This window comes from Homo sapiens, chromosome 12 (assembly GCF_000001405.40).
Source record: "Homo sapiens chromosome 12, GRCh38.p14 Primary Assembly".
NCBI classification, from domain to species: Eukaryota; Metazoa; Chordata; class Mammalia; order Primates; family Hominidae; genus Homo; species Homo sapiens.
The window spans coordinates 10,193,544-10,211,699 of NC_000012.12; the positions used below are offsets into that span (position 1 = coordinate 10,193,544).

The window sequence follows — 18,156 nt, forward strand, 5'->3', positions numbered from 1 at the left end:
GGATACTTGGGAGAAGCAAAGTAAAAGAAAAGCATTTTCAAAGATAAGAAAAGCCTTGGTAAATCTGGGAAACTTAAGAAAAAAAAAAGAAAAAGAAAAAGAGTAGAGGCTGGGTGCGGTGGCTCACGCCTATAATCCCAGCACTTTGGGAGGCCAAGGAGGGTGGATTATTTGAGGTCAGGCATTCAAGACCAGCCTGGCCAATATGGTGAAACCCCATATCTACTAAAAATACAAAAATTAGTGGGGTGTGGTGGCACACGGCTATAGTCCCAGCTACTCTGGAGGCTGAGCCAGGAGAATTGCTTGAACCCAGGAGGCAGAGGTTGCAGTGAGCTGAGATAGTGCCACTGCACTCCAGCCTGGGCAACAAAGCAAGACTCTGTCAAAAAGAAAAAAAAAAGAGAGAGAGAGAGTAGAGTAGCTGATTACAGGGAGCGAGGGAGACAGCTACAGGAAACAAAGTTCAAGAGGAAGGAGAGAGACCTTGCGGACCAGAAGTCTGGACTATATTTTACATGTATTGAGAAGCGGTGGAAGGATTTTTTTTTTTTTTTTTTTTTTGCAGAGTTGCCCTCCTGTTGCCCAGGCTGGAGTGCAGTGGCGCGATCTCGGCTCAATGCAACCTCCGCCTCCTGGGTTCAAGTGGTTCACCTGCCTCAGCCTCCCAAGTAGCTGGAGCTACAGGCATGAGCCACCACACCCAGCTAATTTTTGTATTTTTAGTAGAGACGGGGTTTTACTATGTTGGCCAGACTGATCTCCAGCTCCTGACCTCAGGTGATTCATCTGTCTCAACCTCCCAAACTGCTGGGATTACAGGCATGAGCCACTGCGTCTGGCCTGTGGAAGGATTTTAAATAAGTCACTTGATGCAATTTGAATTTTAAGACAATGACTCTCAATGCTACAGGAGAATGGAGTGGAGTGGGAAAGTCAGAAGGTCAGAAGTCAAAGATCAGAAGATCAGGGAAAGTCTTCAGAGGTACTGAAGAATAGTGGATAAGAGATGATTGTGGATAGGATGGGTGTGGTGGGAATAAAGGGAGAGAGAGAGATAAATGTAGGAATTTGAGAGATATATTGGAGATAGGATCATCAGGACTTGCAGCTGAATTGGAGAGGAAAATGTATTAAGGAAAGGAAAGGAAGTGAAGAATGACTTCTAGATCATTTACCTGAGCTGATGCATGGAAAGTACAGCTATTTATTAGTATGGAGAAGACTGGAGGAAGACCAGATTCAGGAGAAAATTTAAACAGTGATTTCTAAAAGTGAGGAATAAGGCATTCGCTGGTGAAATATGTACCAAGTTAATCTAAGCTAAGTCCTACTGCACCAAACAGTAAAAAAAAAGCTCAAACTTGCTAATGGAATAAGTCAAAGTTTTCCTTGGAATTGAATGAGGAAAGCCTCAATTCATGAAAAAGAAAAAGAAATTTTACATTAGTCATTTAGCTTTGTAATGTTTTTAAGATAATTCACTGGAGACTGCATGGAAACTGTTGGTTACGCCTCTCTGAGACTCTGGGGTTTAGACAGGAGGATATAAGTTTGGAAGCTATCAAGTTAAAATGTATATTCATATATATGGACATGAATGAGATCATCTCTCCCCATCCTCACCCTCTTGATCTTTTTCCCTCTCACTCCTTTAATTTTTCACTTTCTACCAGTTTCTTCCCTTTAGCATATAGTAGTTTAGTATGACTTGTATACCGTAAAGGGAGAGCAGCGCATGAAGTTGAAGTGGCACACTGCTCAGCCTCGCACCAGGCAATTCGGCAACTGAACTTGAAGACAATGAGGTGTGACTTAACATTTTATTTGCAGGAAAGCTCCATTATGTGATCAATTTTTAAGAAACATACCCTGATGAAAGTTTGAGGTCTTAGCTGAAATGTGAGGAAGGCAGATCTTAATCCTGACTAGGAGCATATTGTAAAGCTGGAAACCATCATTCTCAGTAAACTATCGCAAGGACAAAAAACCAAACACTGCATGTTCTCACTCATAGGTGGGAATTGAACAATGAGAACACATGGACACAGGAAGGGGAACATCACATGCTGGGGACTGTTGTGGGGTGGGGGGAGGGGGGAGAGATAGCATTAGGAGATATACCTAATGCTAAATGACGAGTTAATGGGTGCAGCACACCAACATGGCACATGTATACATATGTAACAAACCTGAATGTTGTGTATGTGTACCCTAAAATTTAAAGTATAATAATAATAAAATAATAAAATAAAAAATAAAATCCTAGTTAAAAATGGGGAGCTTGCAGGGCGCAGTGGCTCACGCCTGTTATCCCAGCACTTTGGGATGCCGAGGCGGGTGGATCACCTGAGGTCAGGAGTTCGAGACCAGCCTGGCCAACATAGTGAAACCCTGTCTTTACTAAATATACAAAAATTAGCTGGGCATTGTGGCACACGCCTGTAATCCCAGATACTCGGGAGGCTGAGGCAGGAGAATCACTTGAACCCAGGAGATAGGGGTTGATGTGAGCCAAGCTCATACCACTGCACTCCAGCCTGGGTGGCAGAGCAAGACTCTGTCTCAAAAAAAAAAAAAAAATGATGATGATGAGCATGAAAAGGAACATTGAGGTGGTGGTAAAATGATGTTCTTTTTTTTTTTTTCCAACAGAATTCTAAGCTGTGCTCAATTGAAAAAAAAAAAAAGTAACAGTGGTTAAAAACATGATTTTTAACACAATTGTTCTCTAGGTCTCTCCTATAATTTTAAGCAGAGGAAATTCACTGGCCCCTCTTTCTCAGCTCAAATAACATAAATATGCACAAACCCTCCGAGCAGGGCAGCTCCAATCTGCGGTCTTTTCAACTTACTGTCAAGGGTGATTACACTGGACAGAAAACCACATCCTCTATCGCCTTTTTTATTTTGAGACAGAGTCTCGCTCTGTCGCCCAGGCTGAAGTGCAGTGGCATGATCTCCTCTCAGTGCAGCCTCCGCCTACTGGGTTCAAGCGATTCTCCTGCCTCAACCTCCCGAGTAGCTGGGACTACAGGCGTGCACCACCACGCCCTGCTAATTGTGTGTGTGTGTGTGCGTGTGTGTGTGTTTTCAGTAGAGATGGGTTTTGTCATGTTGGCCAGGCTGGTCTCAAACTCCTGGCCTCAAGCAATCCACCCACCTCAGCCTTCCAAAGTGCTGGGATGACAGGCATGAGCCACCGTGCCCGGCCCTCCTATCATTTTTTGCTTGTGAGGACTAAGCTCTGATTTTTAAATCTTACCCTAATTCCTATCTAAGGAGTCTAGGGAGTCATGCCCTACTAACCATAAATTCTCATCAGATGGATTTTATTTAACCCTGTATATCATGACTTACTTTCCCATCTGACTCTGGCATAACATGTGACAAAGAAGAAAGTCAAAATATTTTACCCCAAAACATGTTTCTTTGCCACATTTTGAAATGGCCCTGCAAAGCTGTCCTTTGTGGGGGAAAATTTGCATCCGTAAAGAATCTCAGCCAGCTGCAGTGGCTCATGCTTGTAATCCCAGCACTTTGGGAGGCTGAGGCGGGCAGATCAACTAAGGTCAGGAGTTCAAGACCAGCCTGGCCAACATGGTGAAACCCCTGTCTCTACTAAAAATATAAAAATTAGCCCAGAGTGGTGGCATGCACCTGTAATCAATCCCAGCTTATAGTGGGAGGCTGAGGCAGGAGAATTGCTTGAACCTGGGAGGCCGAGGTTGCAGTGTACCGAGATTGTGCCATTGCACTCCAGCTTGGGCAAAAAGAGCGAAACTGTCTCAATAATAATAATAATAATAATAATCTCTATTAACATAGCTAGATCTTTTCTTCCAGGCCCTCCCAATCCTAAAGAGATTAACTAAGAGTCTAGCACCTTTTAAATATCTGAATAGAAAATCATTGTCATCTATTGTCTCTAAGGACAGCCACTATAAGACTTCAAAAGAACCTTGGTCTCTACAATCTTTTATTTTAACATGAACATTTCCTTTCTATGGATCCCAGGTCTTTAGACAAACTCAACAAATTGTCAACCAGAAAATGTTTAAATTTGGAAGCCCCCCCGCCACACCCCACCGGCTTTGAGTTGTCCCACCTTTCTGGACCAAACCAATATATTACTTAAATGTGTTTGGTTGACATCTCATGCCTACCTAAAATGTATAAAACCAAGCTGCACCCCGACCACCTTGGGCACATGTCCTCAGGACTTCCTGGGGGCTGTGTCATGGGCCATAGTCACTCATATTTGGCTCAGAATAAATCTTTTCAAGTATTTTACAGAGTTTGACTCTTTTTGTCGACTCTTGCTAAAACCAAAACTATTGGAGTCAGGGCTGCGTCCAGTGTGTTGTCAATTTCTGAAAGAAGATGTTGACACATGCATAGCAGTAGGAAGTGACCCTGACAGCATAAAGCTCCTAATCTGTGCGGGAAAACTGAAAGATGAACCTCTACTAAATTTACACAAGGGCAAACTCTCCTTCAGTGGGGAGGCTGGGTCTGACACATTCTGTGGCTGTGATGACCTAGTTGTCGGTGGTTTACAGGCAAATACGACAGTATAGAGTGCTTTGCAGTAGCCCGTTTTCCCTCCAGGTCTAGCTCAGGAACTGCAGCATCAGTTCTAATTGAGTTGGCCTTGTAGGTATGGCTATAAGATCTTTATTTATTTTTTAATTTTTTAATTTAATTTATTTATTTATTTATTTTTTGAGATAGAGTTTCGCTCTCGTTGCCCAGGCTGGAGTGCAATGGCACGATCTCAGCTCACCACAACCTCTGCCTCCCAGGTTCAAGCGATTCTCCTGCCTCAGCCTCCCTAGTAGTTGGGATTACAGGCATGCACCACCATGCCCAGCTAATTTTGTATTTTTAGTAGAGACGGGGTTTCTCCATGTTGGACAGGCTGGTCTCAAACTTCCCACCTCAGGTAATCCGCCCGCCTCGGCCTCCCAAAGTGCTGGGATTACAGGCGTGAGCCACTGTGCCCGGCCCGGCTATAAGAACTTTATCAGAGGGACTGATTAGTTAATCTGTTAAGCGTTTACTTGCATATGAGAGTATGGAAATAAAGCAGAAACAGGAATTGTTTAACAAATTTAAGTGGCAGGAGATTAAAATGGCAAAGTCTGGGGAAGGTATGCTTTGTTTTCTTTTCCTTGGGTAAAGTAGCTTGGCTGGAAGGTAACAAAGAAGTCAGTGTGGGACATCTGCCGTTGAGCAAGCCAACTGGGAAAATGATTTCAGTGATTTATGGATTGTCTAAGATACATGGAGAGTTCAACTGTGGAAAATATGTGACATGCTATCACTGAGTAGTGGTGGCCAGTGTCTTCCATTGGCATCTCCACCTTGGTTAACCCAGAATTGTGCTATTTCCCACCCCAGGGTGCCTCACAACTTTGGGAGTCTGGGAAGGGTACTATGAAAGTAAGCAGTGTAGGACCGGGCCCGGTGGCTCACGCCTGTAATCCCAGCACTTTGGGAGGCCGAGGCGGGCGGATCACGAGGTCAGGAGATCGAGACCATCTTGGCCAAGATGGTGAAACCCCATCTCTACTAAACATACAAAAATTAGCCAGGCCTGGTGGCATGCGCCTGTAGTCCCAGCTACTCGGGAGGCTGAGGCAGGAGAATCGCTTGAACCCGGGAGGCGGAGGTTGCAATGAGCCAAGATCACATTACTGCACTCCAGCCTGGGCAACAGAGTGAGACCCCGTCTCAAAAAAAAAAAGTAAGCAGTGTTGAAATCTAAAGGATAATTGAATTTTAAACATTAATTACATGGTGTAATGGCATTTTCTGTTTATAAAAAAAGATAGAAAAAAATGAGAATGTGAATCATGGAGACTGGTAACAATTCCAGGAGTGATGTGATAGGAATTAATCTGGAAGACAGGTTCACTTCTTTTTTTTTTTCTTAAGACAGAGTCTTGCTCTGTCACCCAGGCTGGAGTGCAGTGGCCCAATCTTGGCTCACTGCAAGCTCCATCTCCCAGGTTCACGCCATTCTCCTGCCTCAGCCTCCCGAGTAGCTGGGACTACAGGCGTCTGCCACCATGCCTGGCTAATTTTTTGTATTTTTAGTAGAGACAGGGTTTCACCGTGTTAGCCAGGATGGTCTCGATCTCCCGACCTTGTGATCCACCCGCCTCAGCCACCCAAAGTGCTGGGATTACAGGCGTGAGCCACTGCGGCCGGCCTGGTTGGCTTCTTTTTATGGAAGGCATTAAATGTGAGCTTCAGCAGTTTGGACTTTATCCTGCAGTCAATGAAAGCCATCGCAAGTTCTTGAAGAGGAAAAGGGGATAATGTAACTTTTAAGATGCTTTGGTTGTCACTAAAAGATGAATAAGAGAAGTAAAATACAGGAGACAGGGTGACCATTATGGCTACAGAGCTACCGCAGAGGCAATGTCTCTTTAATTTCTATGATAAAATCTTACTTATGGACAAAAGTTATGAAATAAGGCAGACTCAGTTAACGCCTCTTCTCTCTCAGCCTCCCAGTACCAAACCTTAAATTGTTTATGTTGCCTTTTGGTTCTTGCTATTCCTGTTTGATAAATGATGTCAGTGCTACAAGTATCTAGACTTTTCTTTAATCCCACTTTGTATATCAAACTTGCCTATACAGTATCTCTCTTGTGTGCTCTTCTCTTACACTGTAGTTAGGACCTGCTCTCCCCTCCAATATTAATACTAATTACCATAAGTGGTAAGGTTGAATACTATCCTCTCTCTCCCAAAGAGTTGTAACTTCAAACTCAGTAAATACCAAAGTTGATAAATGCAAATCCAATTCAATGAGAACAAAAGTTAATTAAGAGGACGGGTACGGTGGTTCACATCTGTAATCCTAGCACTTTGGGAGGCCAAGGCAGGCAGATCACTTGAGGTCAGGAGTTCAAGACCAGCCTGGCCAACATGGTGAAACCCCTGTCTCTACTAAAAATACAAAATTAGCCAGGCGTGGTGGCACTCGCCTGTAATCTCAGCTACTTGGGAGGCTGAGGCAGGAGAAGCACTTGAATCCGGGAGGTGGAAGTTGCAATGAGCTGAGATTGCACCACTGCACTCCAGCCTGGGCAAAAAGAGCAAAACTCTATCTCAAAAAAAAAAAAAAAAAAAGAAGAAGAAGAAGGTTCATTAAGGGTCAAATAATTTGGCTGGGCACAGTGGCTCATGCCTGTAATCCCAACACTTTGGGAGGCTGAGGCAGGCGGATCACCTGAGGTCAGGAGTTGGAGACCAGCCTGACCAACACGGTAAAACCCCATCTCTACTAAAAATACAAAAATTAGCTGGGTGTGGTGATGCGTGCTTGTAGTCCCAGCTACTTGAGAGGCTGAGGCAGGAGAATCATTTGAACCTGGGAGGCAGATTGAAGTAAGCCAAGATAGTGCCACTGCACTCCAGCCTGGAGGACAGAGTGAAACTACGTCTCAAAAAAAAAAAAAAAAGAGTCAAATAATTGGTTAGTAATCACAGCCATTTGAATGCCAACTGTGCACCTAATGCATTATGTCACTTAATTCTCCAAACTCCCATTTTTTAGCTTTGGATGGTGAGTTGTCAGGAAGTAATGTCATTTGCAGAACAACTTTGTCAGACTTCAAACATCAAACTGAAAAACACTTTCCTCTTTTTTTTTTGAGATGGAGTTTCACTCTTGTTGCCCAGGCTGGAGTGCAGTGGCACGATCTCGGCTCACCGCAACCTCCACCTCCCAGGTTCAAGCGATTCTCCTGCCTCAGCCTCCCGAGTGGTGGGGATTACAGGCATGTGCCTCCATGCCTGGCTAATTTTGTATTTTTAGTAGAGACAGGTTTTTCCATGTTGGTCAGGCTGGTCTCAAACTTCCCACCTCAGGTAATCCTCCTGCCTCGGCCTCCCAAAGTGCTGGGATTACAGGCGTGAGCCACCGCGCCTGGATCCTCTTATTTTTTAATTTTTATTTTTTTAAAATTAAATCTATGTATCTTTACAGATTGAAAATTCAAATAGCCCTGCAAGGCTTGTGAAGAAAAATAGCACCTTCCCACCACACACACATTTTCTACTCCCTACTTTTTAGCTGATATTTTTAGGCCTACAGTTCTTCAAATACGATGCATATGTTGCTATTCTTGATTTTTATTTTTGGTTTGGAACACAATCTATTGACTTGCCATTATAGAAGATGAAAATGAGGCTCTTTTTTTACCACCACCACCTCCGCCTTTGCTAGCATCACGCATCTGAATATTTCTCATGCCCTTCTATCATCCAAATATGATGATATCATAATTTTGATTAGATCAGTATAATTAGAAACAAGAAAGGGAACATTAATGGCTAAGAGCCTGAAACTGGGCTTTAAGGGTAAAAATTGTGGCTCTGCTCTTTACTCCCTGTCCAATCTTGGTGTAGTAACCTAATCGTTCTGGCTTCAATTTCCTCAACTGTAAAATGATGATAAAATGAGTACACCTACATTATACTATATGAGGACTACGGGAGTTGATATATATGTATTCATATATGATAGCATATGTAAAGCATGCATATTAATATACTAATACGTATTAATCACTTTGATTATCTTATAGATTATCTTCATCTTTCATCATCTCTTTCTAAAAGGTAAATTTTGCTTCCTTAATCCCACATCTTTTCCTTTCTTGGTTTATTTTCTCATTGTGGGGGTGCTTACTGAAAACAAGAACATTAAAAGTAAATTTTGGGGGCTGGGCACAGTGGCTCACACCTGTAATCCTAACACTTTGGGAGGCCGAGGCGGGTGAATCATCTGAGGTCAGGAGTTCGAAACCAGCCTGGCCAACATGGTGAAACCCCGTCTCTATTAAAAATACAAAAAAATTAGCCAGGTGTGGTGGCGCATGCCTGTAAACCCAGCTACTCGGGAGGCTGATGCAGGAGAATTGCTTGAACTTGGGAGGCAGAGGATGCCGTGAGCCAAAATTGCGCCACTGCACTTCAGCCTGGGTGACAGAATGAGACTACGTCTCAAAAAAAAAAAAAAAGGTAAATTTTGAGAGAGTTTCCATGTCTAAGAATGTCTTGAGCTACCCCCACACTTAAACAATAGTATAGCTTATTATAAAATTCTAGGAAGAAGGCAGGGTGCGGTGGCTCACGCCTGTAATCCCAGCACTTTGGGAGGCCGAGGCGGGTGGGTCACGAGGTCAGGAGATCGAGACCATCCTGGCTAACACGGTGAAACGCCGTCTCTACTAAAAATACAAAAAATTAGCTGGGCATGGTGGTGGGTGCCTGTAGTCCCAACTATTCAGGAGGCTGAGGCAGGAGAATGGCGTGAACCTGGGAGGCGGAGCTTGCAGTGAGCTGAGATTGCGCCATTGCACTCCAACCTGGGCGACACAGCGAGACTCCATCTCAAAAAAAAAAAAAAAAATTCTAGGAAGAGAATAATTTCCCTTAGAAATTAAAGGCACAGATCTTTAAATAAAAGCTGATCTCTTTCTCTTCCATCATCTCTCTGAGACTCCTACTGTTTGAATGACGGATTTCTAACATTTCATCTCTTTAAATAAATCTGACCTCCCTCCCCTGTTGCCTCTCTGTGATTCCTCGTATTTGAATGTGGGACTTCTAATTTACATTCCCTGCCCCCTTTTCCTATCTCTCTGGTCTTACTGCTTTACTTTCTAGGACATTTCCTTTAACTTATTTCTAATATTTCTCTTGAATTTTTTCTTCTCATACTTTCAATTTTTAAGGTTTTTTTTCTCTAAATGTTCTTTGGCTGCAGCTGTTTTTGTTTCATAGAAGCAATCTTTCCTTTTCTTTTTCTGAGGATGTTAATGACAATTTTTTGGTGTTTCTATCTCCCTGAGTAATCTTTTATTTTCTTCAAATTGTTTTTCTCTTACTGAGTCATATTGGATCTTTTCTTCAAATCCCTAGTGATTTTTGACTACTTGCTGTCTTCTTATATTTAAAAGTGAGTGCTACAAAAGCTCATTTGAAATTCTGCATGCACAGCCCGGTGCGGTAGCTCACACCTGTAATCCCAGCACTTTGGGAGGCTGAGGCAGGCAGATCACTTGAGGTCAGGAGTTGGAGACCAGCCTGGCCAACATGGTGAAACCCTGTCTCCACGAAAAATACAAAAATTAGCTGGGGGTGGTGGTGAGTTCCTGTAATCCCAGCTACTCGGGAGGCTGGAGCACAAGAATCGCTTGAACCCGGGAGACAGAGGTTGCAGTGAGCCGAGATCACGCCACTGCACTCCAGCCTGGGCGACAGAGCAATAATACTCTGTCTCAAAAAAAAAAAAAAAAAAAAAAAAGAAAGAAAAGAAAGAAAGAAATTCTACATGCATGCAACAACCTTGTAGAATTCTACATGCATCCAACCATGGTCTTCTACTGGGCAGGTTGTCGGCTGGGCTGAGTAACTGGAACAGACTAGAAGGAAGAAGGTTGGGGATTTAGGAGTTAGTATGGAAGTTCTCACTTAATATTTCTGTTTTCAGTATGCTTCTTCTACAGAGCCCTTTTCCTCTAGCTTTCCCAATTCATAGACTCTTTGTTTATTCTCTATAAAGAATAAATCTCAATACTATACGGGGATGGGAGAGAGGAAATTACATGGCCATATAGGGGTAAGGAGATAACTTGGTAGTAAAAATGCCTGTACCTTTCTAAATCATCTAATGAATAGGCTACTTTAGACTTTCTTTACTGCCCACTTCAGATTTCATTCCTTAAGACTACTTTGTAAGTTATTTCTCATTTGTTAGCCTTCTTTCTAGAGTTTAAAACTGATTCCTCTTTCCACCTTTTCTCTCATGTAGTGAGGTTGGTTGTTTGTTTTGAGATGGAGTCTCACTCTGTCACCCAGGTTGGAGGGCAGTGGCGTGATCTCAGCTCACTGCAACCTCTGCCTCTTGGGTTCAAGCGATTCTCCTGCCTCAGCCTCCTGAGTAGCTGGGACTACAAGCACACGCCACCATGCCTGGGTAATTTTTGTATTTTTAGTAGAGATGGGGTTTCACTATGTTGGCCAGGCTGGTCTTGAACTTCTGACCTCAGGTGATCTGCCAGCCTTGGCCTCTCAGAGTGCTAGGATTACAGACATGAGCCACTGCACCTGGCCTGATTTTGTGAGTTTTTTACTTCCTTTTTTCTTTTACAGTCTATCTATTTCCTAGAGCTGCTGTAACATAGTACCACAAAGTAGATGTTTCAAACAACAGAAATGTATTGTCTCACTGTTCCAGAGGCTGAAAGGCTGATATTAAAGTGTCAGCAGCGTGAGGTTCTTCTGAGGACTGGGAGGAAGAATCTGTTCCATGCCTGTCTCCCAGCTTCTGAGATCCTCAGGTGTTCTTTGTGTTGTGGATGACATTCTTCCTGTGTCTTCACATCCTCTTTCCTTTATTCAGGACTGTTTTTGTGTCCAAATTTCCCCGCTTTGATAAGAACACCAGTCCTATTGTCTATCATCCACTCTAATGACCTAATTTTAATTTAACCATCTGCAAAGACCTTGTTTCCAAACGAGGACAAATTCACTAATAATGGGAGTTAAAACTTCCACATCTTTTTGGGCGACACAATTCAACCCATCACGCAGTTGTTTTAGTGCCACCTCAGGAGACAGCAAAGCCAAAAATACCTTTTCATTCCACCGTCTCAAATCGGAAGTCTATCCTTTGCTCCTTTGATGATGCTATATTGCATATTTTGAGTCTTTGTGTCATGAGCTATCCAAAGCCCTGAGGAGATAAAAACAATATACGCTGTTTTTGCACTCTTTCATAAGGTAGTCAGTTAGGGAGGACACAAAAGGAGACAGAGGAGACACTCAGGAAAACAACATTTTCTGACAAGTAATTGTGTTTACTTGTGAGTAAGTTTACTCACAAGTTGCAGAGATAGCAGTCACAGCATGTCATACAGGCCACACATTGGAAAGACACCAGGGAGGTCAGGGGAAAGAAGACAGGAGCGAGGGTAAGGTTTAGGTCAAAGCTTTCATTGGGGTTGCCATAGGAAAAACAGGAAAGGGAAGGGTAAAGAATTTAGTTTGAAATATTTCTATGGGCTCTAAACCACAAAGGTTGTCCCTGGTTGCCTGGTAACTGGTCCTCCTATGATTAAGGCAGAGAAATGTTGCCCCCTGGAATATACAGGTTGGATATAGGAGGTATGGCTCTAGATTGGTGAGTTTGCATATGAAAGGCAGGTTCTCAGCTGAGCCCTTGCTATCTCTAAGAACTGGTTAGGTCTGGTAAAGACAGTCTCTCCCCAGCCAGAATTTTTTTTTTAATGTAAAAACACCATAATATACAGAAAATAAGAAAATAAACTATCTCTCACTACTGGAACGGGCTATCTGAAACTAGGGACCTGAATGCCCTTAGAACTCCCCCAAACTCTGTATATATTTCTATGTCTCTCTATCCCTATCATATAACTTGCCTCTCTGAGTGTTATCTTTATCTCATTTATCTGGTGACTGCTTGAGACCAAAACGATAGCAGCCCCTGATCTCATAGCATCCACTATGGTCTGAACGTGTGTTTCCTCGCCAAATTTGTACACTGAAATCCTAACCCATAAGATGATGTTATTAGGAGGTGAGGCCTTTGGTAGGTGATTAAGTCATGAGAATGGAACCCTCATAAATGGATTAGTGCCGTTATAAAAGAGGCCTGAGACAGAACCCTCTTTCTTTCCTTCTGCTATGTGAGGTTGGAGTGAGAAGGCAGCTGTCTATGAGGAAGCAGGCCCTCACCAGATAGTTAATCAGCTGGCACCTTGATCTCGGACTTCCCAGTCTCCTGAACTGTGAGAAATGAATCTCTGTTGTTTATAAGCCACCCAGTCTATGGTATTTTGTTATAGCAGCTGGAATGGACTAAGACATCATCTAAACTTCGTCATCAAAGAAGAAGGGGCTCCTTTCCTTTAGTTCATATGTAAGAAATTCTAAGGAAAAATTCTGATTAATCTTATGGCCAAGGCAATGAGATTTTATGATTGGTGAGTTCCACTAGAACCATGCGGTGTCAATGTAAAAAGAGTAGTTACTTCTGAAACCATACATATATCCCCCCCCGCACCCCCCACCCGAAAAAAAAAAGGACATGTAATGGGCATCATGTTTTTTGTTCGTTTGTTTGTTTGTTTGAGACGTAGTTTTGCTCTTGTTGCCCAAGCTGGAGTTCAATGGCACGATCTCGGCTCACTGCAACCTCCACCTCCCAGTTCAAGCAATTATCCTATCTCAGCCTCTCAAGTAACTGGGATTATAGGCGCGAGCCACTACGCCTGGCTAACTTTTTGTATTTTTAGTAGAAACAAGGTTTCAGCATATTAGCTATACTGGTCTTGAACTCCTGACCTCAGGTGATCTGCCCACCTCAGCCTCCCAAAGTGCTGGGATTACAGGTGTGAGCCACCACACCCAGCCAGCATCATCTTATCTAATGAACAATGCATCATTATCAGTGCTATGGCAAAGATAAGCACACAATACTTTGCAAGTGCCTAGAAGGAATACAGAACTCAGGCAAAGGAGATCAAAAGGTTTCCTAGAGAAGATGATGCCTGAACTAAACCCTGAATGTTTTATAGAAACTAGTCAGAAAAAAAAAGGGAGAAAACGTTTTCACAGGAAGGAGGCTTTGAATATCCAGTGGTCTGAAACAATACCAATATAGGGAAAATAATTTAGTATGCCTGAACCATAGAGTACAATGATAGGAAATGGCTATATATGAGCCTCAAGAGAGAAACAACAGCCTGATTGTAAGTACTCTATTTCCGTTGTAAAGAATTTGAACTGTCTCCCAAAGATTACAGAGAATGCTGACCACTGAATGATATTAAGAAGAGAAATGACACAATGAAATATAGCTTTATTACATTTAGTCTGGCATCAGTGAGCTCTCTTTTTCCTAGAAGTGGGAAAGACAAGACTGAACACTATTTACTAATGTGTTTGAGTAATAATGTTTTGTTTGTTTGTTTGTTTGTTATTTTGAGGTGGAGTTTCACTCTTGTTGCCCAGGCTGGAGTGCAATGCCGCGATCTTGGCTCACTGCACCCTCTGCCTCCCGGGTTCAAGTGATTCTCCTGCCTCAGCCTTCTGAGTAGCTTGGATTACAGGCATGCACCACCACGCCCAGCTAATTTTGTATTCTTAGTAGAGACGGGGTTTCTCCATGTTGGTCAGGCTAGTCTCAAACTCCCGACCTCAGGTGATCTGCCCGCCTTGGCCTCCCAAAGTGCTGGGGTTACAGGCGTGAGCCACCGCGCCTGGCCCAATAGTGGTGATTTTGAAGCATATTCTCAGATTCTCCAATACTTCCTCCAGGTAGAAGTGGAGTCTGTGGCACCTTCCTTTGAATCTGAGCAGAACTTTGTGACTGCTCTGAGAAACAGAATGAGGCAGAAGTGTCCCTTTCAAATTAAAATGACTAGATTACAAGAGGCCATGTGCTTTCTGCTGACTTCTTTTGGCAAATTTGCCCAGAGAGCCCATAGGTACCATGAAAGAAGTTTAGCTAGCCTGCAGCCACTATGGGAAGAGACCCATGGTGAGATCCTATAGAGAAAGGAAGAGGTGGCTGAGGAGCGCCAATTGTTTGAGTCTTCCCAGTCCAACTACCAAAACTGCTAGTGAAGAAGCCTTCCAAGAAGATCCTATCACCAGTCACTAATTAAAACCAAAGCTGAGCCCCATTACTTCAGATTTGTGAGCAAAATAGATGATGCTATTATCTTAAGCCATTCCTTTGAGGTGGTTTGCTATATAGCAACAGATCATTAGAACGAAGCCAAAATTTTTAAAAAATGAAGATTAAACTAAGGTAGTGGCAGCTGCAATGAAGCAATGTAAGCACACAAATTATTAAGGAGGAAAACCCACTCATGTATAGTTCAGGGGCAGGAAATATTTTCCTAGTCTTGGAGTCAGCCAGGCACATCGTGGTGGTATTTGACACTTGATCTGTGGATGGCAGCTTATTTAAAAATTCAAATTAAGTAATAAAATCCCTTGTTTAAATTCCAAGCTTAGCAAGCAAATTTAGAAAATGGCTGAATAACTAAACCTCTAGCTATTGTATTTGTCATTGGAGACCAATGCACTAAAATTCTGGTTTCATCTATCAATTTAAATGTGATAATATAAGAGACCCTGGGCCAGGTGCAGTGGCGCACACCTGGAATCCCAGCACTTTGGGAGGCCGAGGCAGGCGGATCACCTGAGGTCAGGGGTTCGAGACCAGCCTGACCAACATGGCGAAACCTCGTGTCTACTAAAAATACAAAATTAGCTGGTGTGGTGGCACATGTCTGTAATCCTAGCTACTTGGGAGGCTGAGGCAGGAGAATCGCTTGAACCTGGGAGGTGGAGGTTGCAATTAGCTGAAGGGCAACAACAGTGAAACGCCATCTACACACACACACACACACACACACACACACACACACACACACACACAAAGAGAGAGAGAGAGAGACCCTAAATCGAAGAAATCAGACCTATCTTTATGGTAAATTCCACCTGTTTTCAGATTCAAATGCTTGAGTGGGGGAGAAAAAAAAGTATGTTTGGGGCAATTGAGAAAATATAAATATAAGCTCTATATTAGATAATGTTGGAAAATATTAGTAGTTTTTAAGGTGTAATAACTATTGTGGTTATGGAGGAACATGTTCTTATTCTCAGGGGGGATATAATTTGTATATTGGGATGGTGTCATGTTTCTAATTTACTTTTTTTTTTGAGACGGAGTCTCGCTCTGTCACCCAGGCTGGAGTGCAGTGGCATGACCTCTACTCAATGCAACCTCCGCCTCCCGGGTTCAAGCGATTCTCCTGCCTCAGCCTCCTAAGTAGCTGGGACTATAGGTGCGCGCCACCACACCCGGCTAATTTTTTGTATTTTTAGTAGAGACGGGGTTTCACAGTGTTAGCTAGGATGGTCTCGATCTCTTGACCTCGTGATCCACCCGCCTCAGGCTCCCAAAATGCTGGGATTACAGGCGTGAGCCACCGCGCCCGTCCTCTAATTTACTTTCAAACGGAAAAAATCTAGGTGAAGGTTATAGTGGTGTTCATCATACTATTTGTCAAAATTCTCTACATGTTTGAAAATATTCATAAAAGATTGAAAAAACTTCTAACCCTTGAAATCATTTTAAAAAGTACAAGAAACATCAAAAATGTATTTGAGAAAATGTGAGCTTTTTAATGTAGTATTTTGATTTTGGTTAAATAAGACATTTTGAAATGTTTTACTCGATTGTGTTAATTTAAAATTTACTTTCATAGGCCGGATTACATCTGTAATCCCAGCACTTTGGGAGGCCGAGGAAGGTGGATCACTTGAGGTCAGGAGTTCGAGACCATCCTGGCCAACATGGTGAAACCCCGTCTCTACTAAAAATACAAAAATTAGCCGGGAGCGGTGGCAGGCGCCCATAGTCCCAGCTATTCGGGAGGCTGAGGCAGGAGAATCCCTTGAATCCGGGAGGAGGAGGTTTTAGTCAGCCGAGATTGCGCCCCTACACTCCAGCCTGGCGAAAGAGTGAGATTCTGTCTCAAAAATAAATAAATAAATAAAAATAAATACAAAACTCACCCACAAAATTAAAGAAACTAAGTTTCATTACTGGCACCAGAAAACGAATCACATAGTCCCACTTCTTCATGTATTTTTCTTCATGGCATCTTTCAATCTTTATGTATAAAAATTCATGAGGGCAGGGCGCGGTGGCTAGTACCTGTAACCCTAGCACTTTGGGAGGCCGAGACGGGCGAATCACCTGAGGTCAGGAGTTCGAGACCAGCCTGGCAGCATGGCAAAACCTCGTCTCTACTAAAAATACAAAAAAATTAGCTGGGCGCGGTGGCGGGCGCCTTGTAATCCCAGCTACTCAGGAGGACGAGGCCGGAGAAAATTGCTTGAATCCAGGAGGCAGAGGTTGCAGAGAGCCTAGATGGAGCCATTGCACTCCAGCCTGGGCGACAAGAGAGAAACTCCATATCAAATAAATAAATAAAATAAATAAAATCCATGAGTTATTTTATCACATTATATGTTTATAATTTTAAGTCTTACTTTCAAATTGAAAACAGTTTAATTTTCAGTCGCTCATGTTAGGTTTTTTTTTTTTTTTTTAGACAGAGTCTAGCTCTGTCGCCCAGGCTGGAATGCAGTGACACGATCTTGGCTCACTGCAAGCTCCCGCTACCACGCCCGGCTAATTTTTTTGTATTTTTAGTAGAGGCGGGGTTTCACGTGCTAGCCAGGATGGTCTCGATCTCCTGACCTCGTGATCCACCCACCTCCGCCTCCCAAAGTGCTGGGATTACAGTCGTGAGCCACTGCGCCCGGCCTCATTTTAGTTTTGATGCAAATATAGTTAAACCCTCCCGGGTTCTCCCTTCCGGGTTCAAGTGATTCTCCTGCCTCAGGCTCTCGAGTAGCTGGGGACTACAGGCGAGCGCCACCAGGCTCAGCTAATTTTTTCTGTATTATTAGTAGAGACGGGGTTTCACTCGTCTCATGTTGGCCAGGATGGTCTCTATCTCTTGACCTCGTGATCCACCCACCTTGGCCTCCCAAAGTGCTGGGATTACAAGCATGAGCCAACGCGCCCGGCCTATTTTTATTTATTTATTCTTTTTGAGACAGAGTCTTGCTCTCTCTCCCAGGCTGGAGTACAGTGGGCGATCTCAGCTCACTGCAGCCACTGCCTCCCGGATTCAAGCGATTCTCCTGCCTTAGCCTCCACAGTAGCTGAGACTGTAGGAGCGCGCCACCATGCCTTGTTAATTTTTGTTTTTTCTGTAGAGACAGGGTTTTGCCATGTTACCCAGGCTGGTCTTGAACTCCTGAGCTCAAGCGATCCTCGGCCTGGGCCTCCCAAAGTGCTGGGAGAACAGACGTGAGCCACCGCGCCTGGCCCCCTGTGGGTGTTTTTAAAATTAGAGACACTGAGACCCCGACTGAAGAAGATAGGCCACGGGGCTGCTGTTATCTAATATTTATCAGAACTCACCCGACTTGTATGGGCAACGCAGCCCCTTTTCACTGTTCTTTTTCTTTGCAAACTCCACAGTCCTCCCTGTCGCTGCCCTACAGTACTGGTTG

General features: G+C 43.4%; 2 annotated features.

Moving 5' to 3' along the window:
- Window positions 2,734–2,934: a silencer, noted in NCBI's record as "peak1569 fragment used in MPRA reporter construct". NCBI's record gives its function as "represses an SCP1 promoter by STARR-seq MPRAs in K562 erythroleukemia cells {active_cell/tissue: K562}" and the evidence as "EXISTENCE:reporter gene assay evidence [ECO:0000049][PMID:32103011]".
- Window positions 2,971–3,020: a silencer, noted in NCBI's record as "silent region_4236". NCBI's record gives its function as "represses an Ori minimal core promoter by ATAC-STARR-seq in GM12878 lymphoblastoid cells {active_cell/tissue: GM12878}" and the evidence as "EXISTENCE:reporter gene assay evidence [ECO:0000049][PMID:35858748]".